Source organism: Homo sapiens, chromosome 4 (genome assembly GCF_000001405.40).
Source record: "Homo sapiens chromosome 4, GRCh38.p14 Primary Assembly".
In the NCBI taxonomy this organism is placed as follows: Eukaryota; Metazoa; Chordata; class Mammalia; order Primates; family Hominidae; genus Homo; species Homo sapiens.
Window position 1 is genome coordinate 46,243,099 of NC_000004.12, and position 20,337 is coordinate 46,263,435.

General features: G+C 32.6%; 1 protein-coding gene across 20 annotated transcripts in view; it reads right to left on the minus strand.

Moving 5' to 3' along the window:
* The window catches only part of GABRA2 (gamma-aminobutyric acid type A receptor subunit alpha2), a 146,753-nt gene continuing 126,865 nt past the window's right edge, over positions 450–20,337 (minus strand). For 11 of the 20 annotated variants that reach the window (NM_001377154.1, NM_001377146.1, NM_001377152.1 and 8 more), the window contains 2 exons: positions 18,828–19,030; positions 450–7,506 (listed from right to left, as the gene is read on the minus strand). In NM_001377154.1, the coding sequence (NP_001364083.1) occupies positions 7,210–7,506; positions 18,828–19,030 (500 nt within the window). In that variant the 3' untranslated portion in view covers positions 450–7,209. Of the gene's footprint in view, positions 7,507–13,096; positions 13,277–17,673; positions 19,031–20,337 lie in introns of those variants that run through there. The other 9 variants (NM_001377145.1, NM_001286827.3, NM_001377144.1 and 6 more) reach the window with 2 other exon arrangements.

The window sequence follows — 20,337 nt, forward strand, 5'->3', positions numbered from 1 at the left end:
TTTAAATAATATTGCATTAAATTTAGAAAATAGGTCAAACAAGAAAACTACAAGATATGGGAGTTTACAGAGAGAATAGTGAACTTAAAGCTACTTTAAAGAAAAGAAAATACTATTTATTTAATAGTTTCATGTAAACGTGACACTTTTATATTATAGCAGGTAGCCAATTTTCTGGGTGAGCTTATGTTTTCCACTTTCTTAAAGTGTTGAAGAGATGAACATTAGCAATATATGATTCCTCCTCAAATTTCAGGGTATGTTTATGCTTTTCCTGTCACCCTACAGCTTTTTATCTTAAAGAGAAGTTTAAGAAACTAACAACTTTTAAAACCGCTATTACAAAATATCATTTTATATCCCAATATATAAAAGCCACATACACAATAAATTCAATTATTGTAAGCGAATGTGTAACAGAGTATAAAAAACACAATTTTCAGAGCAAATATATTTAAATCATTTTTAATAAATACAAAAAAGTTGTTTAGCATTAATTTGCATGTGATTAGTTAGGAATTTTTTAAACAGCAAGCATGACATATTCAATAAAGGTCATATGATCAACTAGTGGCCTTTCCCAATTACAACAAGGTCACAATTACAAATATTAGTTCTTGAGTTATTTTCATGAACCAGAAAACCTACCAATAAGTATACTGTCACCCAGAAAATTTCAAATTTCACATAATGTGACTATCAAAGTTTAGTGTTGAAGGTTCCTCACATTCTCTCTGCATGTGATCGTATTATTAATTTGTAGCAAAGGAAAAATACTTTATTCCTTTTATTTTCTATTCAAATGTAGCAATAAGTATGACATTTTTTAAAGTTTTCACTCACATCACATCTACTGGAAACATTTCATGAAAGGTGATGTTCCTTAGTTTGAAGCACATCAAAACCTGAATTTGTATCTGCTCAGGAAAATCTTGAAAATTTATAGAAGACCAACAATTTTAAAATCAAGTGTAGTGCAGGCACCCAAGATTAACAAGCAATAAGGACTTAACTGTGGATGGTAAAGTTTAATTCATGAGAATTGTGGCTCAATAATTGAGTTTTACTTATGTCTTTCTAATTATACGTTACACCTTTTTACACATTATGATCAGTTTAAAGCACAATCAATTGCTTCAACGACTATGTCGAATATGTTAAAAATAAATTCTGAACAAATCTATCAGTACTATTTCTAAAGTAATTCTGCAACTAACTCTTGCTTTCTTAGCATCAGTTGTTTTTACAAATAAACTTTGTTGGAAATATTCATGTATAGCCAATAATACAGTTTATATAGCCAATGCAACATAGTTTGCCTTTTGGCATCATGTTATGGCAAAGTCTTCTAAAAAGAAGCATGGAAAACTGACATTTTCAAACCTAGTAAGCTAATTCAGCAATTGCAATCCCACCGGTGGCATCCCTTGGGATCAATTCAGGCGTCATTCTATAAACGGTAACTTACAACAAAATATTTGATGAAATCAATACATAATCCTTGAAGCCCAATGGGATTAAATGTTATGAAACGAACAATATGACAAATGAAAACACATCTCTCCAACCACTAATAAAACTGGCAAAATTAGAAAAAAAAGGAAATGAAGGAAGTGCTTACTTTTGCTTAATCAACATTAATCATTTTTAATACGTGATCATTACTTGTGAACCAAAAAAGAAAACTGCAATATATTCCCAGAAACTAAATTGTACCAAAGAAGTTAGTAAATAGCTAGCATCACAAAAACGGGTATTGCTTACTGTACAGTACAGTTTTATTGTTGAGTGTTTGCTTTTTACTTGTTTGTTTTGTTATGTAGAAAACCATGTAATGGCTCCCTTATTGAATGAATATTCCCCAAAAGGCATGAATATAAATTTGAATTAAAGCAAAGAAAAAACACAGGTTTTTGGTTTTTTTGTTGTTTTTTGTTTTTTTGTTTGTTTGTTTCGTTTACCTTTCCTATAATATATGTAAACTGGTATGTTGGTGTACTATATAGAAATCCTAGATTTCCAGAGCTTCAAGAATCACACAGTGATGATGGCTGCTGTGAGGACTGAATGAACTAATATGCATAAAAAACTTAGAACGTTGACTAGTATGTGATGGGCTCTCTGTAAGAATTATACTCTGAATCATTCCAATTCAAAAAGTAAGGTATGAAACAAATCAGTAATGAATATACATAACTTTGTATTTGTAAATAACCAGATATTTAACTTTTAGAAGAGCTTACACAAGCCTCCGTTGAGAAACCTGGCATTCAAAGATGTTTCTATTCTATCTCATGAAGCAGAATTGCAAGATCATTTTGAATTTAATCTTTTTTTAAAAAAAAACTAGAAATACATTCGAAAAAGTTTACACCAACATAGAAAAGATATTTTTAACCATATGCATAACTCAAACCTAATTCTAATTAATAAGTTTGTTATGGATTTACTGAAAAATGTGTTCTAGTGTGCAAGTTAATTGCTAGTTTAATAAGAGCTGAATTTGTGATAAGATCCATTAATAAAACAAATTGTTTAGATATCATAAATTTATCTGAATTTCTCAAAACATTATTCCATACATACCTAGGAATTACACACATACACACTCGCAAACATACACACATCACTGACACACACAGCTAAGACCCTATTAAAAGATCTTTGGGAACATTACTGTAAGCTGAAACATAAACCTGTAAATTGTTCTTTACTATTGGCAATATTAGGTAATGTTATGTATTAAATACATCATTGAGTAGTTTGAGGTGGGACGTATAACCACCTTTATAAGTATTTCTTCATATATAAACAAACAAAAATAGAATATTTCAACTTAACAAGATGGAAGACACAGTGGTCTAGATATGTTGATAATTAAGAATTTTAGCAAAAAAACAAAATTATGATATATAATATTTATAAGTAGATATTGAATAATTTACCTTCCCAAATGACTTTCACATGAACTTTCTCTACTTTAGTATTTTAGTTATGATGCTTACTATGATAGAATAACGACTCTTAAAATATTTGTGTGTCTACATATGTATAATTTATCTACTTTCTCGGAAGTTAAAAAGGGAAAAATGCTTCACTTGGTTTAATTAACAACAGTCTCCTGTTTCCTGTGGTTTCTTCTTTTCAGTAATTCTGAGCTCTTAAATACTGATGGAAAATATTAATATCTTTAATATAAATTTTAACAGCAAAATATTATGGATATTAAATAATTATGTTAAATATTTACTTTAATTTTTAGAGCATGAATTCAGTAGATAAAAATATGACTTGTCTTCTCCACACTGTTACAAGTGGTTTTGGTATAGTGTCCATGTTTCTCAAGCATGCAGATGTCAAAAATAACTGCACCCCTCCCCAGTTAAAATTTTACACTTCTGCATACTTTAAATTAATAAAAGGGAAGCACGAGGTGCCTATGGGACCTCAATTAAAAGGAAAATGAATGGCACTATAGGGTAGCAATGAGTCAGGTAGTAATCCCCTTAAAATTCTGAATGTTTTCATATGATAAAAAATTTGGTCATTGCTTCAAAAACATGCAGATGAATGTCAGTGTGCCAGGAGACTAATAACAATAATAATCTGTTTAGTAAATCTATTAACATAACCTCATATTTCCAAGTAAATAATAAATATGTCTGTGTTTCACAGACATGTGTCTGAGGGCATCAGGCATAGAATACATTAAACAAATTATTAATGGATGCCAAAGAACCATGATAATGCAGAAGGTGACTTGAGCTACTTCCTTTCTTCTTTCATTGGAATGATGACCGGCCATGCCAAAGAAAAGTACTTTGGTGCTCTTCTGGAATCCATGATTATATCATGGCAGGGTTTGTGTCCCTCAACCAGGAATTCAAAAAGAGCCACATAAATGCAAATTATACTTACCAAATAATGAGAGTAAAATAATAGATTCTGGGTTGTTTTTAAAAATAAACTATGAACTATTTAAGAAAAAAAATTTAGAAACATGGCTCAAGGGGATCACTTATCCAAACCTGAGATAAATTCAAAATAGAGAGATACCTGAAAAGATTTCTAAACATTAAGATTGGCACTTAATAAAATCATTAAAATTTAAAAAATATATATTAAATGGTTATATTTCTTCCATTTTATAATCAAACACATGGGAACATGAACAGGAGAAAAGAGAAAAACAGCCACCTATCCTAGCACACTAGTGGCATCATAGCTCATTAAAGAACTCCCAGTACTAAATTAATTTACATGTTTTATATAGTCTTTAATTTCAAGTCATTATAAGAATGAGATGCACTTAAAATTTCAACTAAATTCAGTGGGTGTGACATGAGTGATTTTAACACCAATTACAGGGCATGGCACAGGAGGTAAAAAATATTTTTGAATAAATATTAGTTAAATCAGAGTAGTAGCTATAAAATAATGAGATTATATCTCTATATATGTACATGTATTTATCTACATTTTGTACATACCATAACTCTTTATGTCATTGTACAACTGCATAAAATAGGTATAATCTTATGGGCCAAAGAGATCAGTGTTAGTATATATAAAATGTATTTTCTGAAAAATTGGCCTTATTGTGATAAATTAAAATCCTTTTAAATTTGTTTTTAAATTGGTTCATGGAAAGGATTATAATTGTTACGAATCTTGTTCTATAATTTAAAAGCAATTTCCACGGAGCATCCCTAGTCTCCCCACAAGAGAAGAAGCTCCTTTTGATTTATTTAAACATTAAAAGAAGAAGAAATATGTAAAAAGTACATCAAAGTTTAAAGAAATAACAAAGAATTCTGATCCCTAGCACTGAAAAATCTGAACTGCCAGAATGTCATTGCACTCAAATAAAATTTTACCACATGAAATTTAAAATAAGAATAACAGTGATAAGTTTTCTGGTCAATCTGCCATAAATGCTAATAATACTGGTGCCATCAATATAGTAGCAGCTCTTTGCCCAAAGTATAGATAAGCCTTTTCTGTTGTCATACAGAAACTGTTATTTACAACTGTTTTTACATATACACATATTTATAAATTTATAACTTATAGTCAGACATTAAGGGGGCAATGCGGACTTTACAAGACAAATATTCTTAAAGTATCTAATAATGCATACCATATAGAGCAATTTCATTGCTTGCCTTCTGGCATTGTGTACTTCCTTATACAATTGCACACATCCCTAAACTATACAGAAGAGCTATGCTATATTTAAATGTATAAGAAAATAGGATATCTTCTATTTCAATGTATGAATAAAGTGCACATTTTAAAACTAGGTGACAAAGAAAGTGTTACTGGAAGGGAATTAAAGAAATACATTTATTGGCTCATGTAACAATTTTATTTTATTAAGGATTATGGATTACCTCTTGTGAGGGAATTTTTAATGTCAAGGCTGTCTTCTTGGCAAATTCCGTTAATAAGTTGCATTTGTGACCTTGGTTTTATACAAGCATGCAAAGCATATAATAGAATCACATGGAAACAAAGAAATTTTAAAAATTAAATGAGGCAAAGGAATAGCAATTTTTGCTGATATTTTGCTTATTTCCATAGATACTCCTTTTATTGATTTTATGAACATACCTATTTATGCACTATACTCAAATACTGTACAAAACTGCAATAAATGTTACTATTTGACTACTTATGTTTCTACAAAAACACCATCGTAAAGGTGCATGTTTTAGTAAAAGTCAACTAATAACTGCTAATGTACATGTCAATCAAAAGTATTTGAAGTTTGCCAAAAACTTTGAATCTAGGCATAATACACAATCTTTAACTTTTATTAGCATATTTCGGGGCATAAATAATATTTTAAGATATTAAAAGAAAAATGAATTTTACCCATTAATAACTAGTAATTATATAAAATTTAAAATTGTGTTTTCTAATTTAGCTGTGTATGTGTGTGTGTGTGTGTGTGTGTGTGTATGTTTGTGCACGTGAAATAATCCACAATCTATTGGTGATGTTTTAAAGTTGCAGTGTAAAAATGTTCAACCCTTACCAAAACCTCTTCTGGTATACAAAGCTGTTGTAAATTTGAGTCAGCGAAATTTAAAGTTGCAATTTACAAAAGCAGATTTACATTAATTCTTATCTGAAAGAACTGCTTTCACAAGAGAAAAATGTGCCAATTAACTGCCCTTTCCTTTATAATTAGTGGCTTCTGAGTCTTGAAAAGAAGCCTTAAGGCAGAATTTGCAGTAAACAGGAAAGAGGAGAATCATATAAGTGTTTGTCATAGTGTGGGGCACCTATGAATTCTCATCAGTGGGAGTTTTTGGCACAATTTTCTAATCCAATATGCATGTTGCTCCACAGCAACCAAACTGGATGCTTTTTCCAGTCTCCAGCACCCGTAAAATTTAGCTGATCAATTTCAATACAACACATACCTGGAAATGTTAAGACACATTTCTTTTCTTTTTTTTTAATTAAGGTAGTTTCCAATGATTAAAATAAATTGTAGGATTTCAATTATTACTTTCAAATAAACTCTGAAGCTAAAAATGTAATGACCATGACATTCCAATAGTTATTACATCGTAGGCATAATTAACATCCTTTCGGGCTGACTCATAATTATTTGAGCTTGTCATGCTGTAATATGTACATGGCTATAGATACTATATAGAGTAATTCATAGCTGATTTCAAATCTCTAGTTTTTCTTATGTGTACCAAGCTTCCAATTACATTAGCAGGGACTCTGAGCACTCATGAACAGAGCTGATGTCAGATACAATGTTTGTTACTTCAAAGGATTCATCTAGGAATGACAATGTTATCTTCCATCATAATTAAGCAACAGTAGAAAATACCCCTACTTAAGAGCTAAACCAAAAGGGTCCACAAAGGGTTGTACAGGATCCCCATTTTCATCTCATTTGGAAGAATAGGAAATTAATCAGGTCACTTGAAATTCACTTTAAATCAGGTCCTAGGGTAAATCTTTAAAAAAGGCAATGGCTGTTTTCGCATGGAGTGCTTTCTGTCTGCAGTTCCATGAGTTAGCAAATGCATGTCTCCATTAAAGGTCTACTGGTAAGCTATGTCACTATATACATACTGTACATGTTGGATCACAAATTAGCAGTTATTAGTCAGACTGTACATAGCAAAACAAACCAAATTTAATGTTGCTATACATCCCAAAGATAACATGGGTCTCAATTCAAGGACTGACCCCTAATACAGGTTCTCTGTTTAAATATGTAGCCCAGTAAACTAAATTAAAGGTACCAAACAAAACTGGAAAAACTATTCTGGACATTCTGTCAATTTTGCTAACACTGTTGAAAGTTTTCTTTGCTTCAGCTGGCTTGTTTTCTGGCTTCTTGTTGGGTTCTGGCGTGGTTGCACTCTTGGAGATGGTGGAGAGAACTGGATCTTTTGAAAGATTCGGGGCATAATTGGCAACAGCCACTGCATAAGCGTTGTTCTGTATCATAACGGAAGCCTTTTCTTTTTTCTATTGAAAAATACAAAAATTAACAGAGTGTGGGTTGAGTCTGCTACTTAACATTTTCTAAAGTCCACTTCAAATTCTGAAGGAAGGTATCCTAATACAAATCATCATGCATTAGCAAAAAACAGAAATTAGGAAAATAAATAAAGGTGTTTATTAAATTCCAAATCCATTACGGTGAGAAAACCCCCAGTAAAATTAGTGGTACCACTTTCTTGAGGAATCTTATTGGTTGTGGGTTGACATGGAAAATAACCAATAGAAAAATGCAACTTTAAAAAACAATATAACTTTTCTTTTCTCATGAGTCAGTCAAGTATTTGTCAAATGAATGACTGAATGAATAACTGAAATGTAGAAATATTTTAACAAGAGGAATGATAATCTACAATGAATGATCCCACATTTCTAGCTTAGTAACAGGATTCCCTCCCACCTCACGTCAAAGTCATATAGCAATGCTTTACTCAGATGATGGGAAATTGTAACCTTATGAAGATGGCAGTGCAACAAATACTAGAAACACAGAAGGAGAATAAAATACAAAGTCTTGGATTTTTGCTTAGCTCATCCCGTTTCACTTTATAATCTCTAGTTCCATTATCACAAACTCTTGTCTGAGTCACTATTATCTCCTGCCTGGACTTTGTGTCCGTCTAGCTTGGCTTGACTTTGTCTAACCATTAGACACATTATGGCCACAGGGATCTTTTTTAAGACATAAATTGGATCATTTAACTTCTATGCTTACATCCCTTAAATAATATTTCATGGAACTTAGAATGAAAACAACATTTTTTTTTACAATGGCTTCTTTCTTTTGCTCATTACTTACTGGCTCCCCTGAAATAACCTCAGTTTTCAAAATACTTTCTTGCTTTGGTGCCACGCTTTTAGCCATGATATTTCCCCAGCCCAGAACACCTCAGTTTTGAAAACCTGATATACCATCTCCCCACCCCATTTTTCACATGAACACCAATTCTTTCTCTTATTTTGGTCTTGGTTTAAATGCCATTTCCTAAGAAAGGACTTTCTTAAGGTCACTCTAACTAAACATCTCTTTGCTCCCATATATGCTCATTCATAACACTCTAATTTGTTTCCATTACGATATTTTTCAAAATGTGTTATTTCTTAGTCATGTGATTATTCGACTGACATCTTGCTTTCTCATTCAATGAAGGCTGGTGCTGCTTCTGTCTTGTTCACCTTTGTAATCTTAGCACTTAGCATGAAGCCTTCCACAAGTTAGCCACATAATACATCAGTGAAATAATATATAATTCATTTAATAAAATGAAAATATAAATAGTACTTATCTGTTTCTTTACTAATATAAATATATTTTTGGTTACTTGAATACAAAGTAAATTGAGACAGCAGTGAATTATCCAAAATAGTGAGCAGGGTGTAAAGCAACAGATATAGAGGACAAATTGGTCTACAATCATATTTTGACTCTTATTTATTTTAATTAAGAGCTCTCAAAGTGTTCAAATAAGTTTAAAAAGGAGCTCTGAAAGCCCAGGAGATTCTAAAAACAGTCATGGATTACCCATCTTTCACTGGCCTGAGTTTCTTCCTCTCCTTTTTCCCCTGCTGACATTCTTCCAGATCTGGCTTAATTATGAAAGAAGGAAGGATGAGAGATCACCATTTGTAACTTTGTAAAAGCTACAAAATATCTCTTCTTCAGTAATGATGCATATAGTTCCCATGTTACAAATAGAGGATAATGTCTAAGTGAAAAACTGATAAGGAAATTATAGCGAACACTTTTTGAGCACTAGAATGTGTCGGGTTGATTGTTAGCCAAGGTGACATCTCTGACAAACCTCACTACGGGATAGGAAGTTCCTTTATTAACCCCATGATATAGGTTCAAAAATGAAGGCTAAAAAAGTTTTCTGACTTGACCAGGTCTGCGCCTATTAAATGGCTGAAAAAGCGCTCAAACTTAGATGTATCTGACTTCTAAACCTCTGCTTTTAAACACCATGCCATATGATTTTTGGTCTGAGGAAGCTGTTTGAGACATGGAGTATGCTTTTTCCTAAAATATTCTTGTTGAGGTTTATATCTCTAGGTCAATCTTCAAAAAGGGCTTTTCAACTTATAATGTATATAACATATAGCGTTTATATTATTATTTAAACCAAATTGAAACATCATTTAAAATGATATCAGATTGCACATATAAAGAATCTGGGCCTTGAGAAATTTCCTTAATGTTTTTCTTCAGCTTGTAACTTGACAAAAGGAAGATAATGATACTAAAGGTATATCAAACTGTTGTAATAAACAAATGGACGAATATCTTATTCTAACCACATTGAGAAACATATATTCTCCTAGTGGAGTGCAAATCATAACTATTACAAGCCAGACAGTGATTACTGGTGTACAAGATGTAAAGGCAATATAATTTATTATGTGTTAGGTAGAAGAAGACAAATATTTTGTTGAAGAACTCAAGGAAAGTTTGATGGAAGTAGGACATTTATGTTGGATGAGGAACTAAGGTGTAGGATTTAGGCATGTAGACAAAGAAACATAAAATGTAAATATCTTTTTTTTTGCAACAGGAGTCTCCAGCTAGAAACCCTATACTAATTTTAACCAATATTTTCTTGCCCCTCACTTGAATACCCTTCAGTTGCACATATATGCTCAGGAAATACAGGTACAAAGTCTCTGAAAAACTCTAGAGCAGAGGGACTAACCAATCTGAACAGATACTCTGACCAATCAGAACTGACGTTGGCTGTAAAATACAAGCAGCAGCACATACCAGCCAAGTATCAACCCTGCATATTTGTATGTTGGCACTTTTTGTTTTATGCTAACACTGTGGACTCTTTAATAAGCAGTGTTAAAACTCGTTCCAAGTTATGTTTGCAATTTTTATTGACAGCTATAAATAACAAAATTCACCTTATTTTCTTCATTGTTTAAAGTATGGCTTCACTCTATGAATCAGCAAAAACTTCAGAGTAGGGCTCAGAACTTCAAAAGGTAATGGTTTTGGCTTCAAAGTGCTCTCTTGTAACTTGGAAACTACCATTTTCAGGACCAAGTAAGCAAAGTACAACAGCTATAAGTACCATTTTTAGTTAAGAACCCAGTTGCTGGCACCTGTAATTTCCTACCAATTCACTGAATGAAGGGCAGGGCAATCCTATGGTGCTGCATCTTCTCAATTCCTAGTCTCAGCACAGCAAAGCTTTTCTGGCTCAGAATTTTACAAAGTCTTATTTTAAAGGGGAAAATAAGTCCCCTCAGTCCATTTAAAAGTAATAACTGCAAATCTATAGTAAAGCAGACTGTTTCTCTTTGTTTAAAATTAAAACCATGTTTAGGGAGAGAAAAATACTGTTGAATTCATAGCTGACTTACAATTCTAAGATCTTCTAAAGCAGAGTCTATAGGTTAAGTCTACATAATATATATTATTAATATTCTTTATAAGACACAGATTTGATAGTGATAGTCCCAAAGAATATCCATACCCTAGCTAAATGATATCCAGGAGGTATTACATGGCCCTATTCACTATTGACTGCTATTAAAAATAACTGTGTTGGGAGAAATCATACTATAGAGACCTCTTCGAATATCATGCAGGCTTTGGATCCAGCCACACCATCAGCAGGTTGAATCCTTGGGCCACATGACTGATTTTACTTTATTTAATGTAACTTTTAGCTTACACTCAGAACCTGAAGAAAAATAGTCCAATGAAACCTTTTGTGTTAATGATTAAAAACAGTACTCATTTCCATAAATGAATTTTTTAACGCTTATGTTCCTATACAATTTTTGTTTCTTTTGAAAACTAGAAAAGTTCGGATAGTTCTGATGGCTAATTTCCTATTGCCTCATCTCATGCTGTATTTCTACTTTAAGGCACCTAGATAGGCCACTTCATATCATTTATGAGAATAAGGCCAGGTATAGCCAAAAATATACACCGTGTTCCAGAAGCCGATTTTTAAAAAAGGTAATGTTACAAGTTGAGAATGGGATCAGTGGGAAGGAGACTGGGGATCATGCAGGCAAACTGACACTATTTTCTATTAATTGTAAGTAATTCTCATGGCTTTTGAAAGCTATGCGTGAATGACTGATAAAATATCTCTCCGGAATTCTTAACCACTAAATTTCACTAGACTTCTCTACCTACACATCCCACAGGTAATTAAAGCAAAAAAATGTCCAGAAGTGCACTCAGCTTCCATCCACTCTCACTTCCTGCTGAAATCTGTACACTCACTTGTACCCCCTAATCTGTGACTGGTAACACAATTCAGTCAGAACTGATAATTAACTCCACATTGTCCCCTGGTTACCTCCTTACCATAACCAGGCTAACACTGATTCAGCTCTGAGTCACATCGACCAAGACAACACTTTCTACTGCCTGTACTTAGTTGCCATTTCATGCTTTTCTGGAGGACCCTGGAGCTTGCCTCTATAATGAAACATGTATGTATCTTTTTCACTTTTGTTTTCCTTTCACTTCATTGTAAGCTCTTTGAAGGCACAGACTGTGTATTGCAGAGTTCCTAGCATAGTTCCTGGCTCAGAGCAGGCTCAGAAACGTTTGCTTAATGATAAATGAGTGGCATGTAACTAAAACGCTTACTATGATAAAAATGTATATATAACATATAAAGTGTAACAAGATAATATGTCATATAGACTATAATAAATACTTTATCAGATCAATTGATACAGAATTCAATAGCTTATTCTACAATTCTATTATGTAAGTCTCCTGAATGTCTTCAATTTCACCATCTACAGATGTGTAAGACTGGGAAATAATTAAACAGGCTAAATTTAAAAAAATCAAAGCTTGTGGAAGCTGTTTTACTTGTGATTTAGACCCATATCAGAAGGTGAAGATTTGATTTATAAACAAAATAAAATATATTTTTTATATATTATCTGGGTGGGGGTAGAGTAAACTATGCTGTTACACAGTTTGTTGAATGTTCAGTTGTCAATTAAGTGGAATGAAAAAGAAATATAACCCACACAAATTGATTTTCCATTTTAAAATGACATTTAGTAGGTTTAAGTATGTTTTGAGTGTATTACTTTATTGAAGTCTTTGGATGTATATTTAAAATATCAAGTCTGGAAAAACCCGGATTACAGAAATTAAAATGTCTTACACCATGGTGTCAAAACAATCTTGACTTCCTATGAGTGATAGAGAAAATAATTTGCTAGTAACTTCAGCTGATGTTCTAGCTAACATATAAACACCTATGAGTAAAGTGACCTGGCATTTGAATGAAAATAACAATTACATGGTTTGGAGTCAGAAAGAATCTTAGGGACTGTTCCTTACAGTAAAGAAATGGGGCTCTCATTCAAACACTAAATATAATAGGCTTTGGAGAAAAAAATCAGGTCTCCAAAGGGCAAATCTATGCTTTTTCTACCATACCATGTTGCCTTTTTACAGTTATTGTGGCTACTAGAAAGCTCATTACTTGTAAAATAACAACGTGCTCATTGGTCAGATAATGCTATTGTTAACTGTCTACTAATCATCCTGACTGAGAAAAGTGATACTTACAGAAGATTGTTTGAAGGTTAAACAGTCCATCCACTTCTCTAAGTACTCTAAAGTCTTTTCTTGGAATAAACTGGGCCATGAGAAAGCTATATACTTGGACCATATTAGCTTAGCTCCTTGAAGAATTGCTTTCACTGAGTTGTATGTTAATGTAATGCCTTCAGCTTTTATTGAAGGGGACTACAAGAAACATCAATATGAAATCCATTATTGCGTTTATTGGGAAAAATTTGACATCACTTTCTACAGTACCCAGCTTCCCCTAATTAAAAAAAAAATAAAACATTTGTTTTTTCAAAAGGCAATTTCAGTGTAAGGAAAAGTTTTTCTCTGAGAAAACTTATATATCTAAAGAAAAATAACTCTTCCCTCCCCCAAGGTGTTACTTTGGTCACCAAGAAACTGAGAATTTGAAGCTTAACTGCTATTGCTATGGACTGCAGCTAATGTGCTGGCCCAAAGATGAATGTATTTGAGTCTATTTTCTTTCATCTTGATTTTCTAATTTTATTTCTATTTTATTTAATTATAATTTAAATGCATGCATTCTTTGATGAACTGCCTGAAATATTTTGGAACAAGGCAGGATGTTATAAATGCAAATAAATAAATAAATACACTTGAAAATGTGATGTTTTCTATGAATTAAATAAAATGACTCATAAAACAATAGCACATTCCATAACTGTTTGCATATTTTGTTCCTACGTCTACGTTTTGAGTAAATTATTATCTAGTGTTTTCTATAATTTCCTTAGCCAGTTTGGACTCACTGACTCAGATTTAGAATTGAAAGCAATCTCAAGGAATTAAAGTAAATACATTTTTTTATCAACTCAATAAGATATGTACTAAATACTGTGCTAAGTAACAGTAGATACGATGATGAATAAGGCAAAATATTGCCCACTCAGATCTTGTAAACTTGTGTAAGAAACAGACTTACTTACAATATAACTATAATGTAATGAGATGTTGTAAAAATAATTTGTACCAAATGGTGTCAAAACACAATTTGGGGAATGAGAGGAGTTAAATAAATTAATCTGAAAAGTTTTCATATTATGTAAAATCAGATAGATCTTAACAAATAATAGGAGTTTGTCAGTTAGCAGCAGAAGAAGAGGTATTATTGCAAGAGGGGTCAGCAGGTCTAATGTTATGGAGCTGTGAAGAGGCATGGATGTTTGGGAAAATGATTGTGGCTAGTAATGGTTAGAGAAAGAATATGATTATGAAACTTAGATCTATCCTCAATCCTGGATTTCACTACCTATTAGATGTGTGATTCTGACCAAGTAACTTTATTGACCAATTCTCATTTCTAAAATAGAAATACTCCCAGTCACATGGAAGCAAAAACATAATAAAAAATCTTCCTTATTATTCATTATAGAAACAAACATAAGAGAAAACTATATACTTGGACCATATTAGCTTAGCTCCTTGAATAACTGCCTTTAATAATTGATTAAAGAACTGAAGAGTTAGTTAAATGATCTGATTTATGATTTAGAATAACTCTGACAGTAATGTAGAGATAGATAAGAAGAAGACATGATTAAAAATAGAAAGGAGTAAAAAAAACTATAAAAAGTATGAGAGATGGTGAAAATATGGTCTAAGATATGTAAGGAGAATAATGGACAAGATTTAATGACTGACTAGATGTTGAGCGATACTTCCAAGTTGTTGGCTTATAAGATTAGGTTGTGGCATTAACTGAAGTATCAATTAGTGATGAATAACTAGGTATGGGCAGTGGAAAGATATAAAATCTATTTTATTTTATCCTTTCTAAAACAGATATTGTTATATTCAGGTTGAGACTGAGGTTGAGATGTTATATTCAGGTAGAAATATTCCAGGAATAGGTTAGATATATTACCTCGTAAGTTAAAAGGTATGGTGTATAGTTATCAATAATGACCTTGAATAGTGAAATGAAGGCATGGGTTTTAAATTTTGATTGGGTAATACCTCTTTAACTCATACCATATTTACTGAGCACCTAATACATGTAAGAACCTGTACAAAATGCCAGAAAGAAGTGATGTGTTAAACAAAAATGGTCATTGTCATGATCAGTGAAAGAGTTGAGACAGAAATATGCAATTACAAACTACGATAAAGGTTCTAATGCAAAAGAACAGAGTACTGCACACACTTATAATGGAGGCCTAATCATTTACAAGGGCAGGGGAGGGCTCAGAAATTTCCTGAGGAATTGATATTTGTGCTGAGGATGGCAAATGGGGGGACAGTATGCTTAGTGTTGCAGATATTCATGCAAGCATTGTCAGTAAAACCCTTAAAGTGAGAATCACGCAGTGAATACTCAAAACAAAAACAGCATTAAAGAAAGCAGAATTGACTGTCTTTAGGGATAAACAAGAACAGATGCCAGGGAAGCTGGGTCCACTCTGAACTCTGGCAGAGAATCAAAAAACAGAAAATGAATAGTGGCAGCTGCCAGGATGTGAGGGAAGAAAGCAGATACTCTGAAGTTTGATTTAAGAAAGAAAAGAAGAGAAAAAGTTGCTGTGCTGGGCCTGAAGAATGATTCTGGAGCATAACAGTAAAAAAATTTAATGGGGATTCCTTGAGAAAAATAGGAAAATTATTTTCAGATCTTAAAGTATGGAGGTTATTAGCGCTCTTCAGCTACAAGATAGTAAATGAAAAGGAAATTAGATTATAGTTGGTCGAGAATTAAGTTGAAAGTGATAAGATAACATTGCAAGCAATGCTTTTAAAAAGTTTGAATACAGAAAAGAGGGGAGAAGCTGAGGATGTGGGAAGAAAGTGGCATAGGATTAGAAAGTTTTCTTCCTGGTAAATTAAGCATATTAAGCATCTTCATAAGCTGAAAGAAAGGAGGCAGTTGAAAATAGTAAGATGGCTTTGAAGACATAAAATAAGAAAACAATAACTAATGGAACAGGTTTGAGAAAGCAAGAAGGAAAGAGATCCAATCAAGAGCTAGGATGAAAGAATTTGTATTGAGCAAAAGGAGAAAAGGAAAAACACCGGATATGAAAAAGGGTTCCATAAGAGCCTGGGGTTGCATAAATAGACACCTTTGTATTAGGAAAGGCATAACAATTCAGAGTTTGATAATCTGATCCAGCACTGTATTTTTCTAATGATAAGACTTTCTTGTCTAATTTCACAACTGAGGCTAAAAGTAGTGTAAAATCCTGCCCAAGCTCACAGAGCAAGGTAGCTCTGCCTTTTAATATAGGGCTCAAATGTAGCTTGAGTATAACTGAGAGTGTTTATTTATTTATTTGCAAAAACTAAATTTAAGTAACGGTGCACATTCTACATGTAATATGTCGAGTGTGCACATGTAAACAGGTTAAAGACATATGTCTTTTTCTTAAAACATACAATATCAATATGGAGCTGAATCATTATTCTTATGGGGCAAATTGATAATTGGTATTTTATGAATTTTCAAAGAACTTTTCATTTGCTCGTTGGATTGACAGATAACCGCATTTGCTCATGTTTACTAATGTCAAAACAAAAGGACTTCCATAAGCCTGGTTAGTCAGAAAGGACACTAAAAACAGCCTGTGGACAGAAACTCTGTACTTAAAGAAAATTATAATTTTCTGCTTAAAAATTAAGTCTAAGGAATATTAAGATAAAAGTATATTACACTGAAATATCTTTTAGGCAGATAGGCTACTTTAGGGCACTCTTCTAGATATCCTTTTAGTTTTAAGGACATTTTAATTCTTAGTCTGAAGGTAGGTTTATGAAACATCTCTCAAAACTCATCTGAATCATGAAATTGGATAGAATACCCACTGATAAATTCATTATAAGTTTTTTTTTTACAAAACTTTCCATGAAGGCAAAGAAGTCCTCCCACTGGTATTATATTGTCGGATTTAAGATCACAAACTCATTCATTCTTTTATACAATAAATATTTATGAAATGCCTGCTAAGGACCAGGCACTGTGCTGGACACTCTAGCTGTGGAAAAGGAAATGAGAACAAGCAATGTCTGATATATTGTTTTCCTGAAGTAAACCACAAGAACTAAAATAACATAAACAACGTTAATTCTTTTCCTGAAAATTAGGTTGGAACCTCAGTGATTTTGACATAGATTTATCCTGGCTATGTGTAATTTGGCATATGGATAGACTTAAATCCACTATACATGAGGAGTAAGCTATTGCTTTTATAGAGCATTATCAATTATTTGTTTTTCACATTTAGAGGTACTTCTGTTTTCCAAAGTAAAGAGTTGAGGAGGCATATCATTTCAGAATGTCAATTTGGCACTCTCTAATATTAAAATAATATATCAATAAATTTATATACGGGAATTCATGGCACAAAATGTTTATCTTTTGTGACATATTTACAAAGGTCTAATATTTTATCTCCAAAAAATTAGTATAAAGGTGCATGTGTAACCAATATACCTTAAAAAATAATTGCATAGATACCATGAAAAAGCAGTACACCATATGGGCAATGAAAACATAAATCAATATTAAATTGTAATGGAAATGCTGAAACAGCCCAGAAGTTAAGCATACAAAATGGACCAGATTCCTTTTAATATTTATTTGTTGGCTCCGTTAGTAGGGAAAACACAACTTATAAAATGAAATAAATAATCAGTCTTATTAAAATTTCTATGGCTTACAAAATTAAGGAAAAAGACCAAGACTTTTAAACTATAACATTTACTGCTTGTATATTTAAACTGTAACATGGTCATAGAAATGAAAAAATATATTCAAATAACTGAAAAAGAAATCAAATCTGCAAGTATGTTAATCCAAATTTAATAAAAGAAGCATTTAGGTTGATACAATGTTAAAGATATCCTCTGAATACAACTTTTTACCATTATTAAGAATATAGATGATTATGATACATTCAAAGCCTCCTCTTAGGCAGATACATAATCTACAGAGTATGAAAGGAAACAGCTGTTATATCAATGCACAAATCTCCCATTAGATTCAGTACTTGAAACCTAAATATGGACAGCAATAATCTCAAAAGAAGTTAATCTTAAAAACAAATAACTTTTCCCTTTTAGACCATATGAACAATTTAAAATTCCTAAGCATTCCAGCACCGACATATTTATTCCATACAACATGGGAAAGATTTTAAAAAAATGCTATCCGGGCTTTTACAATCAATCAGCAGAGACTGGAACAGGTGAAGAGGATTCAATTCATTGATAGAGCCTGGAATTCTATAATAAGTAAAATTAATGCCCATTTTCTTTTTCTAATCTCTTTATAATAATGCAGTGTGGTGTTAAAACCATGAACTTAACAGTCAGACAGGTAGATCGGAGTTCAAGTATACTTACTAACAAGTTGTGTAAGCTTGGGCAAGAAAATAACTTTACTGCTTCAGATTCTTCATGAGTAAAAATAAGAATAAGAAGGCAGTCTAGTCATAAGGATGCTATAAAGATTATGTGAGAGAGCATATGTAAAACACTTAGCACAGTGCCTGACACATACAGCTCAACAGATGCTACGGAGTGGTTTTAATGGAAGTATTAGTACTACAAGAACTCCTAAAGGATTTCAGGCAAGAACACTTTAAAAGAAATTGATATGATTCAAATTCATATATATATGGATGTCTTTAATGTCAGTTTTTAGAAACATATCTGTTACAAGCGGAATTCATTAGGGTATTTTCTTAATAATGATAACACGGAAGCTCTCACTTACCTTGTCATTTACTACACTCTTCCCATCCCAAGCCCATCCTCTTTTGGTGAAGTAATTAACAGTTGCAAATTCAATTAGGGCAGAGAACACAAATGCATAACAAACAGCAATAAACCAGTCCATGGCAGTTGCATAAGCCACTTTGGGGAGAGAATTCCGAGCACTGATGCTTAGAGTTGTCATTGTTAGGACAGTTGTTACTCCTGCAAAAGAAAAGATAGGAATCGAAAACATCAATAGGTACTAGCAGGACAGCATGGGAAGTAGCTTTTCTTTCTCCCTCCAGCCCCCAAAGCTTTTACTACTCTTATCCACTAAATAATAATAAATAAATGAATAAATACTGGAATTTATATTAAAGTGTAAAGTTAATTATCTTAAATGGTTATGATATTTCGTGATGTAATGACTCTCAAAATACTTTCGGTTTCCATTTTTTGTTCTGTATAAAAATCAACTTCCTTCTTCTTAAGTACTGTTGAAGTTAAAAAGACTAGGGATACCGAAGTAGAATTACCTACAAGGAAAAGCAGGCACTTTAAATGGTCCCATTGACAATTAATATATATTTTTGAAATCTTATAAAATCCTCACATTAATTTGTTCATCATTTATTTGAATCATGTTAAGCAATGGACCAATAACCCACAGAAGTAATCATGAAGGAACCGTGATTTAAACATACTTCAAGAGGCTGGGCATGGTGGCTCACGCCTGTAATCCCAGCACTTTCGGAAGCCGAAGTGGGTGGATCACAAGGTCAGGAGTTCAAGACCAGCCTGGCCAAGATGGTGAAACCCCATCTCTATTAAAAATACAAAAATTAGCCCAGCGTGGTGGCAGGTGCCTGTAATCCCATCTACTTGGGAGGCTGAGGCAGGGAGTTGCTTAAACCCAGGAGACAGAGGTTGCAGTGAACCGAGATCACGATGCTACACTCCAGCCTGGGCGACAGAGCAAAAGTCCGTTGAAAGAAAGAACGAAAGAAAGAAAGAGAGAGAGAAAGAAAGAAGAAAGAAAGAAAGAAAGAAAGAGAGAGAGAGAGAGAGAGAGGGAGGGAGGGAGGGAGAGAGAGAAAGAAAGAAAGATATGTTGCTTTCCTCTGAGACTTTTGTACAAAAGAATAGAATATAAGACAAATACACACGTACATATATACATATACATATACATGTATGTACATATATGTGTATATACATACAATATAGGAAATGAAAATAACAAATCAGCAGCAACTGTAAAGGTAATACAAAAAAAGTTGCTTTTTAAAAGCAGTATTATCATCAAAATGTTAGTAAAACTTTAAAAAATTGATACTCTCCTGGTATTGAGGAAGATATGGGGCATTACAAATTTGTGTCATACCTAAGAAACTGTTGTCTAATCCAAGGTCATGAAGAATTAGCCCTATTTTTCTTATCAGTTTTAGAGTTTTATGTCTTACCAGTGAGTCTTTGGTCCATTTTGAGTTCATTTTTGTGTGTGGTGTAAGGTAGATGTTCACATTCAT